Source organism: Homo sapiens, chromosome 15 (assembly GCF_000001405.40).
Source record: "Homo sapiens chromosome 15, GRCh38.p14 Primary Assembly".
Lineage (NCBI taxonomy): Eukaryota > Metazoa > Chordata > Mammalia > Primates > Hominidae > Homo > Homo sapiens.
Window position 1 is genome coordinate 67,554,109 of NC_000015.10, and position 22,066 is coordinate 67,576,174.

The following is a 22,066-nucleotide window of genomic DNA, read 5'->3' on the forward strand; positions in this document are numbered from 1 at the left end:
GAGTGCAGTGGTGCGATCTCAGCTCACTGCAACCTCTGCCTCCCAGACTCAAGCAATCCTCCCACCTCAGCCTCCTGAGTAGCTGGGACTACAGGTGCATGCCACTACACTGGCTAACTTTTGTATATTTTGTAGAGATGGGCTTTGGCCATGTTGCCCAACCTGGTCTTGAACTCCTGGGCTCAAGCAATCCATGCTCCTCAGCCTCTCAAAGTGTTGGGATTACAGGTGTGAGCCACCGCACCTGGCCTTATAGTAATACATTTAATACTGAAAATATACCTAACACTAATTGATATCTTATATAAAAGAAATGGTGTTATAGTTAGTGATATGAATTAAGCAACAAGAGATAGGGTAGCTGTCAAATGTACCTGTTTTGTATAAATGTAGAGAAAAAGAGTTGAGTGAGTGGAAAAGAGGGGAAAGGTCAGGTAATGTTACAGATTCTCCAGTTCTGAGAAATGGCGTCTCTTCAATGAAACCTCCGGTGATTCCAGATGGCATTAATCTCTCTGCACCTTTACTAGAGCAGGGAACCCCTTCAACCTGCCTTCTGGTGTGTGTGTGCATGTTAACTTCCCTCATTACATTTTGAGTCACTTAGTGATAGGTACGATGTTTTATTCCACTCTTTCTCTCTTCTTAGTAATGAGCTTGCTGCCTTAGAGGAACACACTTGTTGAATGAGTGGAACGTTATGTGTGTCCATATTCAAATGAAAATTATAAAATGTATATGGTCTAAATCTAAATGAGTAATTTGCGTTTTTGGATTATTTGTGTTATAGCCTGAGCATGGGATATAATTGGTTGGTGGTGGACAGTTCAGGCCTCCAAATCAAATTCCCACATTTGACTGACCCAAGGGGGTCAAACCTGAGGAGCTGTATTCTTTCTGATTTCTTTTTCTGGGTGTGGTGTTTCCAAGGGGAGTTAGGGCTGGATGAGGAGAGGGACATCTGTCTGCAGAACTCACCTTTTGGGCTGATGGTCCTAAACCTTGTTTTCTTATTAAAAGGACCTCTTTTAGGTCCTTATTCTCCATTACATCTAGAGCTCACAGTTCTACAGGCTGTACAAGCATGGCACTAGCATCTGCTTGCATTCTGCTGAGGAAGCTTTTACTTATGGCAGAAAGTGAAGGGGCAGCAGGCGTGTCACATGGCGAGAGAGAGTGGAGGAGGTGCCAGGCTCCTTCAACCAACCAGTTTCTCACATGAACCAACAGAGTGAGAACCCACTACCATAGAGAGGGCACTGAGTCATTCATGGGGGATCCACCCCCACGACAAAAACACCTCCTTCCAGGCCCCGCCTGCAACATTGGGGATCACTTTGGAGGGGACAAATATTCAAACCATATCATTGTGGAAATAAATTTGTAAGATAAATTCTTAGAGTTGGAACTACTGAGACAAAGAATACCCATATTTAAATTTCAATATCTATTACTGTGTTTGCTCACCAAAAGGTAGAACCAATCTACACTCACACCAACAAGGTATGAGAAGGCCCATTTCCCTCCAACCCCATCAACTCTGGATATTAGCAAACCTTTTAGTCAATGTCAGTTTGATAGGTGAAAATATTACTGTGTTACTGTTTTATTTTATATTTTTTAAATTGTAAATGAGCTTGAATATCTTCTCATTTGTATTTGGCTATTTGTATTTAATTTCCTTTTTTTTTTTGAGACGCAGTCTCACTCTGTCGCCCAGGCTGGAGTGCAGTGGTGTGATCTCGGCTCACTGCAACCTCCACCTCAGGGGTTCAAGCGATTCTCCTGCCTCAGCCTCCCAAGTAGCTAGGACTACAGGCATGCGCCACCACACCCGGCTAATTTTTTTGTATTTTTAGTAGATACGGGGTTTCACCATGTTGACCAGACTGGTCTCAAACTCCTGACCTCAGGTGATCTGCCTGTCTCAGCCTCCCAAAATGCTAGGATTACAGGCATGAGCCACCGTACCTGGCCAGCTATTTGTATTTCATTTCTATAAACTATTTGTCGTCTTTGCCTGTTTTTCTATTTGGTTATTTATCTTTTTCTAATTGATTTAAGGGTTTTCCAATATTAAGGTTGGCCCTTTGTCTTGTGTGTTACAAATGTTTTTGTTCAGCTTATTGCTCTTTTCGGTTTGTTCTGGTCTTCTTATTCTCTCTTCTTTTTTCCGTGGAGAAGTTTAAAATTTTTACATGGTCAAACTTACTTATTTTCCTTTGTAACTTCTGGGTTTATGTCATGCTTAGAAAGGTCTTCTACAGTCCAGGATATTGAAGAAACATTCATTGATATTCTTTTTTCCTTCTACTTTAATGAGGTTAGACACACACACACAGTTATTTATATAAATTTGTATGTGTCGTATTGTGGGTTTTTATAAAAAGCATGTATTTTTATTACAAAGTTCAGAATTTGTTTATTTTTCTTTTTCTTTTCTTTCTTTTTTTTTTTTTTTGAGATGGAGTCTTGCTCTGTCGCCTAGGCTGGAGTGCAATGGCATGATCTCAGCTCACTGCAACCTCCGCCCCCTGGATTCAAGTGATTCTTCTGCCTCAGCCTCCCTAGTAGCTGGGATTACAGGTGCCCACCACCATGCCCAGCTAATTTTTCTATTTTTTAGTAGAGACAGGGTTTCACCATGTTGGTCAGGCTGGTCTCGAACTCCTGACCTCAGGTAATCCACCTGCCTCGGCCTCCCAAAGTGCTGGCATTACAGGTATGAGCCACTGCTCCCAGCCCTTGTTTTTCTTAATTCTTGCACCATCTTCAGTTTATTTTGGTGAAATAAATCAGGTGGGGATCCAACTTTATTTTTCAAGCAGATAGTTGATTCCACACCAGTTATGGAATAGTTTTTCTTTTCCCAGATGTGAGAACCTTTCTGAGATGAAGGTAAATTCCATAACCATAAAAAATCCTGTGTGTTTGCATTTCTGGGTCCTACATATGCTGTAAGAGCTTGACATTCATATAGGCCCAGAGACCCCTGCTGATTTTCACAGTTTCATTAGCAGATTAATGAGTACACCAACACATGAGGTGATAAAAATCAACCGTGCCCACTAATGCATTTCCTGTGCATATCTGTTACTTGTGTTCCTCTGCCAGCATTTTCTCTAGAGAAGTAACTGCTATAAAATGACTGTTGGATTGGTGTTCGTGGACAGTAAAATCTCACTGGTGACTTGAAACATGCATTTTAAGTCCATGTAGACAAATGCTGTCTTAAACCTATAAAAACCATGTGGTTTCACTTTTCTATTACACTCATGTATTCTAATCTGTAGCTCTCAGAAGTATCTTCACACTTGTCAAACCGTGTGTCTGAGTTTGGTTCAGAAAACATGGTTATAGAATAAATATTTATTGAATTTGTGCCTTTCTTCAACCCCATTTTATACTCTCTCCTTATTGCACAGAATCATTTTCAGCTGTTTTATGAACTGCTGGAAGATTATTTTGTATTTAGGGTGGAAATCTTTAAACCAACACATTATGTCTCATTTTAAATTTGGCATAGTATGACCATTTAAAGCTAAATTGCAATTCTGGAAGTTGTAAATTCTCAGAGTATAGGAAACAACTATAGCTGATAACTGGAGTGACACCTGTAGGAGATACTCTTGTGTTCAGCTAGCCATGACAATCTTGTTAAGAATAGTTGGGTGGGAGCCTCTTTTTGCTTCAGAGAAGAGTCTAAATCATAAAATATTTGGAAGAAATGAAGTTTCATTTCCTTAAACTATTGTATATGTAAAAATATAAAGGGTCATTTTTAAGTAAAACTAGGTAAGTTAGTGAAAAATGGTCACAACAAACCTACACTGAGCCTGAAAATTATTTAACATGTAAGAGTTAATTATGCATCCTAGAATTTGGGGCAAAATAAGAGAGCTTTAATTTGTTGAAATTTTGGCTGGAAATATTACTGATGCAAAAAGTCCAAATCCCTTTTAGTCTTATGAGAGTAGTCATTTCTTATTAATAGTCTTGCTAATTTGTATGAAAATTAAGAAGTTTGAGTCCTTTACTCAAGCACCAGACTAGTTGTTCCTTAAGGTCAGTGGACAGTGCAGCTTATTTTTGAATCCCTACCATAATGGTACCTGGCACGTAATAGGCACTCTATGTGTGTTTCTGGAATGCATGGATGGTTGAAGAGTGAAGTAATAAGGATAAGCTTTCTATATCCCATTCATCAGCAAGTCCTGTTGGCTCTATCTTCAAATTTATCCAGCATGTGATGACTTCTTAAAACCTCAGCTTGGTTTAGGCCACCATCATCTCTCACCGGGATTAGGACAGTGGCCTCCAAACTGGTCTCCCTGTTCTACTTTTGCCTCTATACAGCCTCTTTTCCACATGGCAGCCAGAGTGATTCTTTTAGAAGTCAGGTGACACCACCACGCTCACAACCCTCCAGTGATTTCCATCTCACTCCAAAGTAAAAGACCAAGTCCTTAAAATGCCCTCCAAGGCTCTGCATTTTCGCATCTGGCCTCAACCTGTCCCACCATTGTTTCTCTGAACCCGTGTGTTTCTCCCCAAACCTCTCATTCTGTTCTAGCCACTCTGGCTTCCTTTCGGTCTGTCAAACATGCCAGGCATTCCTCTGACCCAGGGCCTTTGTATTAGCTGCTGCCTCTGCCTGGAACAGTCTTTCCCCAGATATCAGCAAGGCCCACTCCCTCACCTCCTTCAGTCTCTTTCCACTAGAGTGTATGTTCCATGAAGGCAGGATTTTGTTTGTTTTTTCTTTTTTCACTGTTACTGTCCCAGTGCCCAGAACAGTGCCCACCACATAGTGGGTACTTTTATTTGCTGGAAGGAGGAAGAAAGCAAAGAAGTAAGGAAGGAATCAGGAAGAGGGAAGCAAGAAGCTAAATTAAAACTCATGGATATGAAGATGTGGCCATGGAAAGTACGGCCTCTGGTCCTGCCCACGTCATTAACTCCGTGCCTGAGAAGGGCTTTAAACATGACATCTTTTCCGGTAGTTTCCTGTTGATGTCTTTCTAACTTCTATAATTATGTTTTCATTTCTTTTCTCTTACCTGGGAAAAGTGCCTTTGCAGTAGTTCTAATTGCCACCTGGCACAGAAGGAGTGTGACAAATGACATATAATATATTGCCTTAACTTTCTGTAGCTCTTTGTAGAAGCTAGATTGTTTCTCTTGAAAGCCTTCTTGAGCCCCTGTCACTGCAGTGGGTGCTGTTTGGCTGAGAGCTCCCTGGAGTCTGCTGTTTATCTGCTGTTTACTCAGTAGGCCATTGTGACCGCCCCTTACCTGAGGCTGCTTCTCCTCTCTATTGGGCCTTTATGTTTCTCTTCTTGGTTTTTCTTTTGGATTGCATGTTGCCTCAAATAAAATTGCTAACAACATATGGCCTGTTATGATTCTCTTTTCCCAAACTCTGCCATTTTGTATATTTGTGACACACTGCAGATTTTGTGAAGATTGCTTCATAATATTGGTTTACCATCTGCTGCACTCTATTTGGTATCTTGCTAGGATTTTTTCCTCCATTTTAAGTGACATTAACAAAATCTAGCCAGTACATAGGCTTTCTGGTTCTACTTTTGCTTCCCTAATGTGCTGGAAAATCATATTACTATGCTCCAGGCAACTAGAGAAGCCTGGAATTCTCATTGTGAACCAATGTATCAGATCTGTCTGCTCCCCTACCCCCACCCCTTTTGTTGGTCATATCCGGTAACGTTTTTTTGGTCAGATGGCAAAGAACCTCCATGTATAAGATAGAAAAAGCTCAAATTATTTTCTTGCTTCTTAGTACCACTACTTTCTAGTGTTGTTCTCTAACATATTTGTACCTCTGAAACTTTGTGGCAGTTTAGTAAGTTTTTATGATTTATGGTTCCAGCTAGTGTAATTTTTACAGCTTATCCAGCTTGATAGGCAGCTAGCCTGAATCTTGGCTAGATGGGCTGTATATATCCAAGTTTTTGTTCAGAAAAGTATTTTAGGCTACTGTCATAGTAATTTGCTTAGTATGTATTTCTGCTTTCTTACCCTTCACTAACTTTTCGTAGCTGTCAATTCACTGTCTTTAGAGAGAAGTGCATTTTTGCTTTACAGGTTAAGGTGAGTGGTTTGCTCTTGGGCTGCCATCAAGGGGTCAGAGACAGCTCAGCTTTTGCCTTTTGGCTGGAGCCACCAGTCTTCTCATGGGTATGGTTACTTTTCTAACTCAGTTTCCTCTTGGACAAAAACAAGGAGTCTTTAATAAAACGACTAAGCATAGATATTAAAGAGCAAATCAGACAGTCTCCCAAAGAGCAGTTTGTAAAGAAAACCAATACCTATATAAAGCTAGGTATCCTATTAACCCACAACAACTATTCATCAGTATGCCATATAAGCCTGATTTTATCCCCAGCCTTTATTAGAATGCCTCTTTCAACTTATCTGAAATCTTCTTTTGGAGTCAGACCCCCTAAGGGGAGAGTTCCAACATTTTATCACTGGGTTGATGTCAAAAGCTATTCTAACCTTTTGGCTTCAGTTTTCTGTCCACTTAAGCAAATGCTCTTGTAATGTTTCATAGCTACTTTTTATGCAACTTCTCTTCAAGAAATTATTCTGGTAGCTGACTTCTTTCACAGATCTTTTTCTTCTGAAATAATCCCTCAAGAGATTTCTTAGAAATTTAGAATTCCAAAATATTTTGGTTTAAGTAGCCTTAAAGGTTCAAGCTCTAGCTTTGAGAAGTTGAAGAACTCTCCTTTTGTTCTTGATTGTGATTTAAATGATTTTTATGTAATCGGTGCCCCCCCCTTTTTTTAAATAAATTATAAGAAGGGTTTTCACTCGTTTTACCAAAATATAAGCACTTGCCCATCCTATGTGAACAATACCTTATTCAGGTCTTGGGTATATTGAAATTCAAATATAAGCAGTCTCTTTTTAACCATAATCTCTATAGCTAGCTTAGTTGCAGAAATGAGATTTATTTTAAAAAAACTACTTTATTCAGGCTGGAATTTGTTTTTATGCCAAGTTCAGAACTTCATAAAGAACAAATCAGTTTAGCCTACATTTAAAGAGAATTTGACCTGGTTTTAAAGCAAAAATGTAAAGTGCTTTCATGTGTGGTGATATGTAACATTACATCATTTGTACTTTGTTTTTTCCTGTCTCCTGCATTTTTAAGAAAACTTTCGCCTTAACCTTGAAAATATTAGTTTCTAGAACTTATATATAGACAGACTCCTTTCTTCTCTCTCTACAGCTGGAATGGCATTTCTCCCCCAATTTGGCTCTAGAGATTCTATATCTAAAGCGAATGAAAGAATCTTTATGTGTGTAACATCTCTCAGGACTGTGCCTTCTTCATTACTGCAAGTGACCAGTGTATGCCTTTTACTCTGAAAACAGGCAACTCTTGATAGCAGAATACTGGTAGTGACTCTCCTAGATTTAGACAGTGTGATCTTGATGATACCGATTCACACTGAGTTGGGGAACTCTGCAGCAGTGAACCAGGATCCAGAAACAAGTGCTTGGAAAGAAAACAAGTGCTTGGAAAGAGTGAGAGCTATGGGTCACTGAACAGGACTGGTCCAAGTGCTGGTTTCGATCATGCTATCAGATTGCTGTTGGCCACTGAAGAGATAAAGGGAGAAAGTATTTTGCTTGAAATTAGGCTAATTGTGAAAGAACACAAGCTTCCTCCTAGGGTCCCCATAGCCTAGTCACCAAGCAGGGGGATATCCTTGGAACTACAGCCAGACAGGAGGGAAGACCCACTGACTTGTGGTAGGGGAAGATCCCTGTGTTGAACTGAACTCCCTCTGTACTTTCAGTAAGCATCCCCTGACCATGTTGGGCAAGCTTATTCTCTTCATGATGAGAGATTTGTCTGAGGTTCTCCAGGCTTGGGATCAGAACAGTCTTTCTATATGATCAAATCAGCAATTATATGCCCAAGAGTGAACAAAAATAATAATTCCGATTGTTAACACCAGAACTGAGGCATCCTGCTGAGAGCCTGCCCCTTCCAAGTTGTCCCCTTGGGAGGCTCTGTACGTTGCTCCAGACGTTTTTGGCATTTCTTTCAACTGTGCATTTACAGTCTACTACATAGGCTGTCCTCACTGTTGACAAATCTTTATAGAAGGATGAAGAGTTAACTATATATTTGGAAATAGCCATAAGTCATTCTTAGACATGCTTGGCAGATGATGTGGGTAAGTGATCAGGCCAACAATTTCATTTTGGGTTAAAAATGAGATTTAATATTCTCACATAGTCTATCTTCAGGTTTTTAAAGCAGTTTTGAAGAGATATTTCAAAAACTACTTTGAATAAGAGAAGTATCATGAAATAAATACATTATTTCTAGATGTGGCCTCTGATGATACTTACTCAAATTTACACATTCTGGTTATGTAGTTTGTGAAGTCTTGTCCTCCAGCCTTAAGACTTAAATTATTTCAAAATAGCATGAATAGCATTTGAAGCTTTCTATGGCTGGAGAGTATGCAAAACAAGTGAAACTGTTCGGAAAAAGAGCTGCTAAATAGAATGGGGGAGACCTGTATTAGAGCTGCTTTACAAGTTAACCTTGCACTAGGCCTAGGTTCTCCTGTGGAAAGAGAATAATAATAATGATGTTCATGTCGCAGGTTTGTTATGAGGTTTTCAAGGAGGTATTGCATATGAAGCATAGATCACAGTGCCTCATGTATTGTAGTGTTCAGTAAGTGTTAGCCATTTTTATCATGCTGTTGTGAGATGATAGATTGCCTGGGAGAGAGGAAGAATGGAGAAATCGGGGTATGGTGCTGTTTGGGAGATTTAAAAAGTGTGGATAGTAGAACAAGACTGGCCTCTCGTTGGTTTTTAGTTCCGCTAACCAAACCTGTTTTGTCATACTCCAGTTATATTTACTTTAACCTAGAGATATGTTGTGAATGACATGAGCAATATTTTAATTTTCTGCTATCCCTAAAAGAAAGTTTTATATTGAGATTCTGATCATATTCCAAATGGAAAACAAAACAACAAACTAATAATGTCAACATACCCCCAAAATGTGGTGTTGAGGGTTAGAATATCACATTGTAATAAACCGTTTATATTATGTTCCCTTTGTGCATTAAACAAATGCACACCTTATCATTTGCATTATGTGCTTTTAAACAGATGAAGATGAAGATGGTGATCGAATTACAGTGAGAAGTGATGAGGAAATGAAGGCAATGCTGTCATATGTAAGTATACGACAAATGAAGACTATTTTTTAAAATCTTAACGTGATTGAGGATGCTGTTTCTTGGGCATAGTGAAGACGAGTAAATAAATCACAGTTGTCATACATTTTTCTATATAATAGGTAAAGGTTTCAAGGATTTCCGTATGTGAAAGTTAAGGGCATTATTTTCAAAAGACACTTACTGATCATATCATAAACATTAAGAATAATGCATCTTAATGACTTTTGCATTAGGTATGATGCAGACTAAATGGACTATCAATTTCCTGTATTTTTTATGCAGTACTTAAAGTAACGGCTCATTAAAAATGAACCCCTGGGCTCTAAAAAATTTTTCAAAATCTACTTTCAACTGGAGATCTCTCTCACCCTTCCAGACTATAGTTTACAATGTAGCTGCAGGCTTAATATGGATACACGATTTAAAGATGTACTGTTGGTTATTTATGCACTACCCATAATACTCCCACCGAAAATGAACTACAGGGCTACTTACTGAATCAAAGTGATCTGAATATATTCTGAAACGACTTTTCTTTTGTGTTTAAAATTTTACTGAAAATCTGCGTTAACAGTTATCTGATACTGAAGTAAACAAGAGAAAAGGGCATATTTCTAAAGCTTCAATACTAAGCTTGAAAAATTCAGCTATCATGAGGAGACATAGGTTACCTGAGTCTTGATTTGTGCCTTCCTCTCAAGTTTTGTTTTGTTATATCTGAGTCTGTAATCTGTTTACAAAACCTTTTCCCGTGGCCTGGTAGAAAGAGCATTGGACTGGAAGTCAGGAGACCTTAGCTCTACTGTGGTTTCTTGGCCCTAGGCAAATCACTTAACCTTTCAGTGCTGTAGTTGCCTCATCTGTCAATTGTGGATAATAATACTTGTCCTTTATACTGCACAGGGCCATTGTAATGATCAAATAGAAGAATAGATGTGAAAGCCCTTTGAAAAGTTAAAAGTTCTATACAAATGCAAATGATGGAATCATTTGGAATCATGTGGAAATGATGGAATCAGGGCTCTTGCTTTTCACTGAGACCCTAATCTTAGTCAACAGTTAGGTTGTAGGTTTTTGATAGACTTCAGCTTCAGCCAGGATATTGTTTCATTGTAATGAAAACTGTAAACTGTCTGTATGGGTTTCTGCCAATAGTTTTAATTTAGGGTAGGAGAATAGAGAACAAGAAGGATAGGATGATTAACAGAGCATTGCATTCCAACCAGCACAGAATAGGAAAAGTCAATTTCCCATTGACTTCGCATTAACTTATGTGAGAGTCTTTGTGTACTGAGAATTTAGAGCTGGGCTCATCAGTACCTTGAAAGGCAGAGTAGGATTGTCTGCTGAAAAGGTCTACCACTGGTATTGATAGATTGGCTAACTCTCCTGAGAATGTGACATGCTTATTTTTAGAAAACCCACACACACAGATGGGTTCTAATTTTCTCACATATGTCCATTGCAGAGAACTGACATCAATATACTTTCATTATGTATTCAACTTAACCACATGCAAAAGATATGTACTTTTGGGTATGATCTTACAAATTGTGCTTTTTGAAAATGTTAGTGGGTGTGGTCACAGTGATAATGATGATTTCCATTTCTAAGTTACTGCTATATACAAAATGCTTGAGGTATTTAATTTTTTTAGTTTTAATAATCACTCTGTAAGACAGATATTATCATCCTTATTTTTTAGATGAGGAAGCTGTGGTTAAGAGATAAGCCCAAGGTCTTAGAGCTAGTATGAATGTGAATATGGAATTTAAGTTCAGTTTCTTTTCATGCCCAAGCTGTTGCTCATTTACTGTTTTACACTGTCTCTCCCCCACCTTCCTCTTTGCAGGATTTTTTTTATGTCATCACTGTTATTTATTTTTTTTTCTCCGAGATGGAGTCTTGCTCTGTCACCGAGGCTGGAGTGCAGTGGTGCCATCTTGGCTCACTGCAACCTCTGTCTCCCGGGTTTAAGCAATTCTCCTGCCTCAGCCTCCTGAGTAGCTGGGATTACAGGCACCCACCACCATGCCTGGCTAATTTTTGTATTTTTAGTAGAGACGGGGTTTCATCATGTTGGCCAGGCTGGTCTCAAACTCCTGACCCCGTGATCCACCCGCCTCGGCCTCCCAAAGTGCTGGGATTACAGGCATGAGCCACTGTGCCCGGCCTGTCATCATCATTATTAAATTCTGAATAATTTGGGTTTATATAATACCTTAGTTGTGATTTCTGCACCATGTATTCCTTACAGCATATGCTTATTTTCTCAAATTCAGTGTTTAATTATTTTTGTGTTGTAGGAAAATATGATTACATAATCTTACATTACATGTCCTTAGTTTAAAAGTTTCTGAGATTACTTGGGTCCACTTTTTTTTATCTGAATAGAAGTCATCTATCTCATTGATGAGATAATTTAAAAAAATTTTTTGTAGAGATAGGGTCTTGCTTTGTTGCCCAGGTTGGCCTCAAACTCCTGGCCTCAAGTGGTCCTCCTGCCTCAGCCTCCCAAGGTGCTGGAATTACAGGCGTGAGCCAAGGTGCCTGGCCAGGTTGGCTGTCATTTTGATCTGTCTTGGTTCTTATGATTGAAATTTAAGGAGAACCATTTGGACGTAACCTTACAGTAGGTTTTGATTGGTAGTCCTCATGATTACCAGCATGTTCCTACAAATTTGCATTGGTCTTTATTTTGTAGGTTCAATTTGGCTCTGAAGTTTGAGTCCAGGATTTCGTATAAAGGCATAGGGAAGATACTGACAGATTACCACATTTTTATTGTTTTTTGCAAAAAGCTGTTTTTTTCTTTTGTTTTTGGTCTTGTTTTGTTTTTGAGATGAAGTCTCATTCTGTTGCCTAGGGTGGAGTGCAGTAGCCTGATCTCGGCTCACTGCAACCTCCGCCTCCTGGGTTCAAGTGATTCTCATGCCTCAGCCTCCCGGGTAGCTGGGATTACAGGTGCCCGCCACCACGCACGGCTAATTTTTGTACTTTTTGGTAGAGATGGGATTTCTCGATATTGGCCAGGCTGGTCTCGAACTCCTGATCTCAAGTGATCCGCACACCTTGGCCTCCCAAAATGCTGGGATTACAGGCATGAGCCACCATACCCGGCCAAAAGAGCTTAGTTTTTCATATAGAATTCAGTACACCTGTGGTCATCTTAGTATTTCTTTAAAAGCCATATGTGGGAAAGCAAAAATAGAGGCACTTTTACCATTAGTCCTTTAATCATTCTTTTTCATTGATTACAAAGGTTAAGTAAATAAACAGCCTATATCTCTGCATAAGAATAAAAACAAATTTGCAACCTCTGAGTTGAAACTTGAAGAATTACTTTTTCCCCCTCTTGGATGCAGGCATTTTCTGGCTTTGGGCCAGTACAAGTGTACATTTTTATTAGTAATTTAAATAGATTTTTGTATTAGACCTGAAAATGTTGCCTTTTTAATTGAAAACTTATCAATTATTTAAATCACTAGCAGCCTGAGGCTGTTAATTTTATGAGTGCCATAATAATGGCATACAGTGGTTTTTGATACATGTGACACGTGGAATATTGTATTATGGTAAGGATTTGTCATGACAATAGGTTGTTGTGTGCTGTTAAATAATAACCAACATATTAAACCAAAGTCTGTTGTCACACATTAGTACCATTTTATGTAAGTTATTTAGAAGTTGTATTCTTTTCTTCATTAGAGATATTTTTAAGAGATAAAGAGAAGAAAACAAAGCTATAATAAATTGTCTTTTAAGAAAATGTAAAGTAATTTGGTCTCCAAGGAGATATTTAATGTATTGAAAGAATTCAGCAGCCAAGTGTTATTACAGCACCATTGTGATAGCTGCTCTGCATTTTGTTATGAGTTTGTGTTAATCAACAATCTGTTTTTATAGCATAGTTTCTTGTAAGTTATGTTGTTAGAATATTCCACTTCTGGGATCACGGCTTTTCCTCTGACACTATTGCATCTTTTTAATTCCTCCATAAAGTTTTTTTTTTTTTTTTTTTTGAGACAGAGTCTCGCTCTGTCGCCCAGGCCGGACTGCGGACTGCAGTGGCGCAATCTCGGCTCACTGCAAGCTCCGCTTCCCGGGTTCACGCCATTCTCCTGCCTCAGCCTCCCGAGTAGCTGGGACTACAGGCGCCCGCCACCGCGCCCGGCTAATTTTTTGTATTTTTAGTAGAGATGGGGTTTCACCTTGTTAGCCGGGATGGTCTCGATCTCCTGACCTCATGATCCACCCGCCTCGGCCTCCCAAAGTGCTGAGATTACAGGCGTGAGCCACCGCGCCCGGCCTAAAGTATTTTTTTAATTAGAATTTGAAATGCTTTATTAGAAAAAAAATACACACAACCTACATATTCTGAAAACTAAATACCTGATCATTGCTAATTAAATATTCCCTTAATGTAGTTTAAATTTTGTTGTTGTTGTTCTCATTTCCTCCTCTCATTTTCTAGAAAGATTGAAAATAGCGTGCTGCTTTTTTCCTTCCATTTTTTTGTGTTTGTTGTCTGGTAGTTCTATGGAGGCCCAGTTCTAGGAGGGGATTATTTTACTGTTAACCTCTTCTTTTGGGTGACCTTTCATTAAGAAATTCAGCCAATACATCTTGCTTTTGTAAGTAGATTTATATTTGTTTCTGCTAAATCCTGTGTCTAGGGATTTATTACACCTGGTTCTCTTAATATTGAGAGGCTTGTGTGAGTAGAACACAGTATTAACAAAAATAATTTTCATCATTTTGTCTATTCTCACTCTTTATATCATTTTTTCCCACATTGCCAGGAGAGTATGGCATACATTTTACTGTAGTGCCTCCCATTATGAGACCTTGTATTATATTTAGTACAAGAGTCCTTATATTTAAGTGAAGTGTAAGTATTCCCTTTGGTGTATTTGACCACAGTGTACCCTGTCAGACGTTGAGTACTATGAGGGAAAAATACTTTTTGACCTGTGGAGCACCTTATAAATTGGGATATGATTGGCTTTATCCTAATATACATAACTTGGACATTGCCTCTAAAATCATGCAGTTACTCAAGTAGAGTTGGAAGGTAACCACAGAGGTTTTGTTCAACTCTTTCATTTTACAAATAAGGACATTGAGGCCCACAGAGAATAGAAGATTCAGATATCAGTTGGAAGTCACATGGCTAATTAAAGGCAAGGCCTGGATACAGACTCTCAGTCTCTTTGCTCCTGGTTGTTTTAAATAAGGTTTTTGTTTTGCTCTCTATTATAGTCCTGCTCAGCTTTGCAAATACTGCTTTTTCCTGAGTGTAAAAAATAATACTTATTACCAAAATGTCACTGTACTTGAGTTTGTAGAGAAATGTAAAAAATACTCTGTTGGCTGGGCGCGGTGGCTCACTCCTGTAATCCCAGCACTTTGGGAGGCTGAGGCGGGCGGATCATGAGGTCAAGAGATCGTGACCATCCTGACTAACACTGTGAAACCCCATTTCTACTAAAAATACTAAAAATTAGCCGGGCGTGGTGGCATGCGCCTGTAGTCCCAGCTACTCGGGAGGCTGAGGCAGGAGAATTGCTTGAACCCGGGAGGCAGAGGTTGCAGTCAGCCGAGATCACACCACTGCACTCCAGCCTGGGCGACAGAGCAAGACTCCATCTCAAAAAAAAAAAAAACAAAAAAAAAAAACAAAACTCTGTGGGCGTCTGAAGGTTTAAAAGTTTTGTCCTTACCTACAAGGCTGTGTTTTACCTTGTTTACCAAATTCATTGTCCATTTAGAAGTTGAATATTTAATAGCATCAGGGCCTTAGCTATTAGGAAGTTTTCTTTAAAGAACAAAGAGGTTAGAAGCTCATTTTCCACATGGTGCTTTCAAATATGCCACATATTAAATAGGTTCTACTTTGAACTTAACTTTGCAGGTGGCAAAATCAGTTCAGCTTTCAATGAGTTGTTAGTCCCCTAATTCAATGCAATTTATCCAAACAACTGATTACACAGTATATTCTTCAGAGAAGGTGGAGAAACGGTGAAAAGAATGAGAAAGGGAAACTGAAGGAAATAAATTGTTTTGGGGATTTGTTTATTTACTCAAATAATGACATGCTGCAAGCTGTAAGTAAGGTTTTTGTTTTGTTTTCTTATCCTAGTCAAAAAAGAAAACTTTTTTCCAGAGACAGATTATTTTAATTCTCTTCTCTGTTTGGAACACTTGGATGCCTTTGAAATAGTGATAAAAGTGTAGTGACCCCTTTTAGCCCCTGTTGTGATCTATGTTGGAGCCTGTTTGGTAGCAAGGAGCAGAAGCATATTCAAGTTTGCATCAGAACGAGGGATTTATTATGTGGCTCTTGGAAGCAAAGGAAAAGATAAGCACGAGTAGGCCTCAGTCTTGGTGGCACCAGGGCACTCTGGGGACCACTGGAATAGGAGGTTTGGACCACCAACATTTTGTCATTTATATGGCTCTGCTCCCAGTTCAGTTCCATCTCTGTGGAGGGTTCCGCTTAGCCTATTTATAACAAAATGTCTCATTTGGCTTGCTGTCTGCATGGCCTGATAGTCCTGTTTTATTTAAGTGGCAGGTTCCCTGAAGCTGCTATTAAAACTTCTACTTTAAGAGGAATAGCAGAATTGCTACAGCCTAAAAATCAGGTGAAAGGTCAGTGTGGACACTACCCCAAGCTAACCAAGGTAATAACTCTGAAAGTTTCAGCTGAGAGGATCCCATAAATTTTGGGCCTGTTGCTGAATACAAATTTAAACTCCTTCTGCCAACACATATTACCTTAAACATAGCCAATTTGAATTTCATCTGCTATTGGCTGCCCAAACTTCTATGAAGGCCATCTGGGGCTCCTTAAAGTCCTTTATGGTTTTAACCAAATGGTGTTATCATTAAACTTGGCCAACTTGCTGTCATTTTCACTTTCAAGTCATTAATAAATACATCTGTCCAATAACATGAGCCTATAAATAGGGCCCAGAGTTGGTCCCTGTTGACCTTCACATTGTGATTTTCTTTCTCATCATCTAATCAATCTGTGACCATATGTGGACCCTCGGTCAAGTCTTTTAAGGAAAAGCTTGTACACATTGTAGTCTCCTCATGACAGGAGCAATGAGTTATTGAGGAGTCAGAGCCTGAAGCCAGGTAAGTAAATGTAGCTATTAATTTGATATTCAAAATAGATTGGCTTCATATGTTATTTTTGACCACTGGGGCAGTTGTGTGCTCTGTGAGAGGTCAGCATCATAAAGGAAAAGCCTCTTAATGTAAAGTATGAGAAATAATTGAAAGAAGGTGTAACTAATGACACATCTGAGTAGCGTTATAATTGAATTTGTAGCCATTTGATAGAGTTAAGATTGTTGAGTTCTTCACTGGGAAAACTAACAAATTAACTATGGACTGCAAATAGTTGGTTAGTTTATTGATTATTGCTGTAATTACTGACTGAGCTACATATAATAGGGTATGCTTGCAGTATTGACAACAGGAATTTGAAAATTTTATCATTAGTATGAAAAAAACAGCATGAGTATTCCTTATAAGTGAAATACTGTACCAATTATGTTGTCTGTTAGGCATGCTAAGGAGAGATTTGAGAAACTCTCCTGTTACAGATGTATGGAAGAATAATAAGTAGGCCTGGTATCTCCTCTGTACGTGAGACTTGCTGCTGAATAAGTTGGAAGGTATGACCAATGAGAGTCGTTACTATGTCTATATCAGTTCCTCTCTGGATTCTTCCTGTAAACATTTGTGCCCTGTCTGTAATGTGCTAGGCACTATATGGCAGTGATTTCTCAGGTTTTTGAAGGCATAGTCCTTTTTGAAAATCTGTAGGAAGTTGTTTATTTTTTTCCCCCAGAAAATTCACATAATGCAGCATTTCACCAGCTTCAAGGATCTCCTAAAGCCCATATAGATCCCAGGTTAATACCTCTGGCATAAGAGGAAATAAAATATACAAGGCATGGTTCCTGCCCTTGTTGAGCTTCCAAAAGAGAAACAGTGTTCCCCACAATACCTGTTTACTTTATTATTTATAGTACTGTAGTAATTGAGGGGAAGGGAGGGGATACTGACTCAACCTCAATAAACCAGTTAAATTCTACCACTGTACTTTGTCCAGATATCTCAGTCGCCTTGTTTTATGGTTTCTGTGTCACCCTATTGTTGCGAACATGTTTCTTCTATGTACTCTTACTTGGAAATGAGAGATTCAAGGCACCATTTCCTATTTCAAGATTTTTTTTTTCAAGTACTTTTTAAGAAGGTTTCCCATATACCAGCTCCTTTAATTTTGATCTTCTTAACATCTTTATAAGATCAGCAAGGCAGGTTTTTTCCCCATTTTTACAGCAGAGGATACAGAGGCATAAACAATTGTGTGCCTTTCTTGAGGTCACACAGCTAGTCAATAGAGAGCTGGGGCCTGAGGTCACTCACTCGCTGGTTTGTTTCCTCATTCATCCAATCAGTTTTTCATGCAGCAAATGTTTATTGGATAGCAGTTCTCTGGCCAAGCACTATGCAAGGTGGTGGGGGTGCAGTGAGCGTACAGTTCATGCCCTCCAGGAGCTCATGGTCCAGTCAGGGAGATTAACAAAAAAGGAAACAGAGTTCAGTGTGGGAAGACAAGAAAAACTCATAATTACCAAGCGGAGTGATAAATGATATAATACACCTAAGCATTAGGTGCTCCATGAGCACAAGAAGTGTCTAATCTAGCTTTGGGGACCAAAAAGGCTTCCTGAAGAGGGCAGTGTCCAGGTGGAGTAAGTTAGGACAAGGGGACTAGGAAGGATGTTTGGGGCAGAAAGAACAGTGTGTTTAAAGAATGCCTGGTGAGTCAGTAGGAGCTGCCTGTGATTCAGTCTGTATGGACAGTGACGGGGGAGAGGGTGGGAGATGGGGCTTGGAGGAAGGTGGGTTAGACCATGGAGGGCCTTAGCCCAGGGAAGTGACATGATCATATCTCATATTGTCAGAGGCATTTGAGCCATAGCAACTCTGTTAGTCTGTTTTCATACTGTTATCGGAAAGGGGTCCCAATCCAGACCCTAAGAGAGAGTTCTTGGATCTTGTGCAAGAAAGAATTCAGAGTGAGTCCACAGTGCAAAGTGAAAGTAAGTTTATTAAGAAAGTAAAGTGGTGAAAGAATAGCTACTCACTCCATAGAGTAGGACGTTCCCGAAAGTAGGAGGATGAATGTGCCCACCCTACGTATGATGTTTGTTTATGTATAGGATAAAAAAGGATCATGGGGAGATGTGCTCTGCTACAAGGGTTTGTGATAAAGGATTCATTTTCTTAATTACTATATTTTGCAAGAATTGATATTATTATTATTATTTTTTTTTTTGAGATGGAGTCTTGCTCTGTTGCCCAGGCTGGAGTGCAGTGGTTCGATCTTGGCTCACTGCAAACTCACCTCTCGGGTTCAAGTGATTCTCCTGCCTCAACCTCCTGAGTAGCTGGGACTACAGGCACCTGCTACCACGCCCAGCTAAGTTTTGTATTTTTAGTAGAGACGGGTTTTCACGTATTGGCCAGGCTGGTCTCAAACTCCTGACCTTGTGATCTGCCTGCCTCGGCCTGCCAAAGTGCTGGGATTACAGGCGTGAGCCACCGTGCCTGGCCTGATATTATTTTGTTTAAAGCAAAATTAGGAATGCTTCTGTTTTCAAGATATTAGGGTATCAGGACATTCCTGAACCTGGGTATGTTTAGTAAACGTTATCAATCTGTTCCCTTAATCATAAATAGCTAGAGCCTAGGAATACCTAACTTCCTGGGAATGTAGCCCGGGAAGTCCCAGCCTCATTTTTCCTAGCCCTCACTCAAGATGGAGTTGCTCTGGTTCAAATGCCTCTAACAACATTGCTATAAAGAGCTATTTGAGACTGGGTAATTTATAAAGAAAAGAGGTTTAATTGACACAGTTCTGCATGGCTGGGGAGGCCTCAGGAAACTTATAATCATGGCAGAAGACAAAGGGGAAGCAAGTACTTTCTTCACAGGGTGGCAGGAGAGACAGTTGGGTAGAGGGTGGGGCGGGAGTTGCCACACACTTTTAAACCATCAGATCTCGTGAGAATCCACTCACTATCATGAGAACAGCAAGGGGGAAATCCACCCCCATGATCCAGTCATCTCTCACAGGACCCCTCCTCCAATTAAACATGAGATTTGTGGGCGGGTACACAAATCCAAACCATATCAGACTCCATCTTGAATAGAAGCTGGGTAAAATGAGGCTGCGACCTGCTGGGCCGCAGCCCCAGGAAGTCAGGCATTCTTAGTTACAGGATGTTTAGAGTTAAGGGAACAGGTTAATAGCATTTACCAAACAGATTCAGGACTTAACAGACCAAGGAAATGTCCTGATGTCCTGATATCTTAAGAACAAAAGCATTCTGAGTTTTGCTTTAAAGATAATATCTTTAAATAATAATATCTTCTTGTGGAAGACAGTAGTTACACAAAGATGAATAATCCTGTGTCACCAGCCTTGTAGTGCAGCGCATCTCCTCCATATGGTTTTTTGCTTTGTTATTTTACATATAAACAAACATTGTACATAAGGTAGATGTGTTCCTCCTCTTGCTTTTGGGAACACCCAGCTCTGACTGGGTTTATTGGTGGAGCCATTCTTTTATTCCTTTACTTTCTTAATAAACTTGCTTTCACTTTACTCTGTAGAATTACCCCAAATTCTTTCTGGCACGACATCCAAGAACCATCTCTTGGGGTATGGATAAGGATCCCTTTCTGATAACAGTATTTCTCAAGAGTGGCTTGGGGTAGAGAATTTATGAAGCGTGGAAGCCACTTAGGGGGCTGTTCCTTGTGAAAGACAATGGTGGTCACTGGACTGGTGAGAAGTTAACAGATTTGAGAAGTGGGGAGGATGTCAAGTTAATAAAATTTAGTAGGCTGGGCATAGTGGTTCATGCCTGTAATCCCAGCACTTTGGGAGGCCAAGGTGGGTGGATCACGTGAGGTCAGGAGTTTGAGACCAGCTTGGCCAACATGGTGAAACCCCATCTCTACTAAAAATACAAAAATTAGCTGGGCATGGTGGTGGGCGCCTGTAGTATCAGCTACTCGGGAGGCTGAGGCAGGAGAATCACTTGAACCCAGGAGGCGGAAGTTGTATTGAGCCAGGATCGCACCATTGCACTCCAGCCTGGGTGACAGAGCAAGACTCCATCTCAAAAAAACAAAATAAGGCCAGGTGCTGTGGCTCACATCTGTAATCCCAGCACTTTGGGAGGCCGAGGTGGGCGAATCACGAAGTAAAGAGATCGAGACCATTCTGGCCAACATGGGGAAACCCCGTCTCTACTAAAAATACAAAAATTAGCTGGGCGTGGTGTCGGGCGCCTGTAGTCCCAGCTACTCAGGAGGCTGAGACAGGAGAATCATTTGAACCTGGGAGGCGGATGTTGCACTGAGCCGAGATCGTACCGCTGCACTCCAGCCTGGGCGACAGAGTGAGACTCCATCTCAAAAAATAATAATAAAAATAAAACAAAATAAAATAAAATTTAGTGGTTAAATACGGGGGAGAAGAGAAGAGAGATGGTTTGGATTACTTCCAGATTTCTGGTTTGGGAAACAGGGTCATAGTGATGGTATTTCCTGAGACCATAAACCCAGGCAGCAGAAGACAGGTCTAGGGTCTGATAGGGGATAGGAGAGGAAATCAGTTTTGGACCTGTTGAATTGGAGGAGGCTCTGCACAATCAACTGGTTATGTTTCAGAACTTAGGAGAGAAATCTGGGCTGGAAATAAAGATTTGTGATTCATCAGCTCCTAATTAGTCTCAGTGATTCCTCTGGTAGTTGAAACTTTGAAGTGGCTAAAGTAACTCAAGGAGAGTGTAAAATGAGAAGGCTAATGAAAAACAGTGGGGGAAATCCTGCATTTAAAGGAGAGATGGGGTAATAACCACTTACAGGAAACCGAATGGAGTGGTTGGAGAAGTAGGAAAACCCATGGAGGTGGCGGGGCGGGGGAGGGCAGTGGGGGAGTGGTTGTTGCCAAAGAAAGAGCCAGAGGTCACCTAGGTCACCCATCAGCACAGATGTCTTCACACTGCTTCGCCAGCCTCTGAAAGATCAGAGGATATAACCTAACCTGCACAGGGTGTGAGCGAAGCCACAGCTCTCCACCAGCTCAGCAGTCTACCAGGTAACCCTACCTATTTAGGTAAATGTTTTGAGGTATGAGAAATATGAGATAACCTACTTCTTAACTTGTAAGCAATAAATATACGTTTTATGCCCTGAGTGCATGGCATGGCCTAGAATGAAAGGAGTAATTTTTTTGTTTGTTTGTTTACTGATAAACCATTTGCTTCATCTGTTAAATAGAGGTGATGATACTTATAGAATAGGATAGGATTGTAAAAAACTAAGTGAATAAATGTAGATATGTAGTGCTGAGCCTAACACACATAGGTATCCAATGAGTGAGGGTTAGTTCTCTCCCTCTATCTCTATCTCTCTATCTCTGTCTCTGTTTTCTCTTCTTTTTTTCTTTCTTTCTTTCTTTCTTTTTTTTTTTTTTTTTTTTTAAGATGGAGTCTTGCTGTGTCGCCCAGGCTGGAGTGCAATGGCACGATCTCGGCTCACTGCAACCTCTGCCTCCTGGGTTCAAGCAATTCTGTCTCAGCCTCCTGAGTAGCTGGGATTACAGGTGCACACCACCACGCCTGGCTAATTTTTATATTTTTAGTAGAGACAGGATTTAACCATGTTGGCCAGGCTGGTCTTGAACTCCTGATCTCAGGTGATCTGCCTGCCTTGGCCTT

General features: G+C 40.1%; 1 protein-coding gene across 8 annotated transcripts in view, besides 1 other annotated feature; it reads left to right on the forward strand.

Moving 5' to 3' along the window:
* The window catches only part of MAP2K5 (mitogen-activated protein kinase kinase 5), a 264,412-nt gene that overhangs the window by 11,406 nt on the left and 230,940 nt on the right, over positions 1–22,066 (forward strand). For all 8 annotated transcript variants that reach the window (XR_007064474.1, NM_145160.3, NM_002757.4 and 5 more), the window contains exon 3: positions 9,175–9,242. Coding sequence is in view for 7 of the 8 variants with exons in the window: in NM_145160.3 (NP_660143.1) it covers positions 9,175–9,242 (68 nt within the window). In the remaining variant the exon portion in view is untranslated. The remainder of the gene's footprint in view (positions 1–9,174; positions 9,243–22,066) is intronic.
* Positions 3,180–3,259: a silencer, noted in NCBI's record as "silent region_6580". NCBI's record gives its function as "represses an Ori minimal core promoter by ATAC-STARR-seq in GM12878 lymphoblastoid cells {active_cell/tissue: GM12878}" and the evidence as "EXISTENCE:reporter gene assay evidence [ECO:0000049][PMID:35858748]".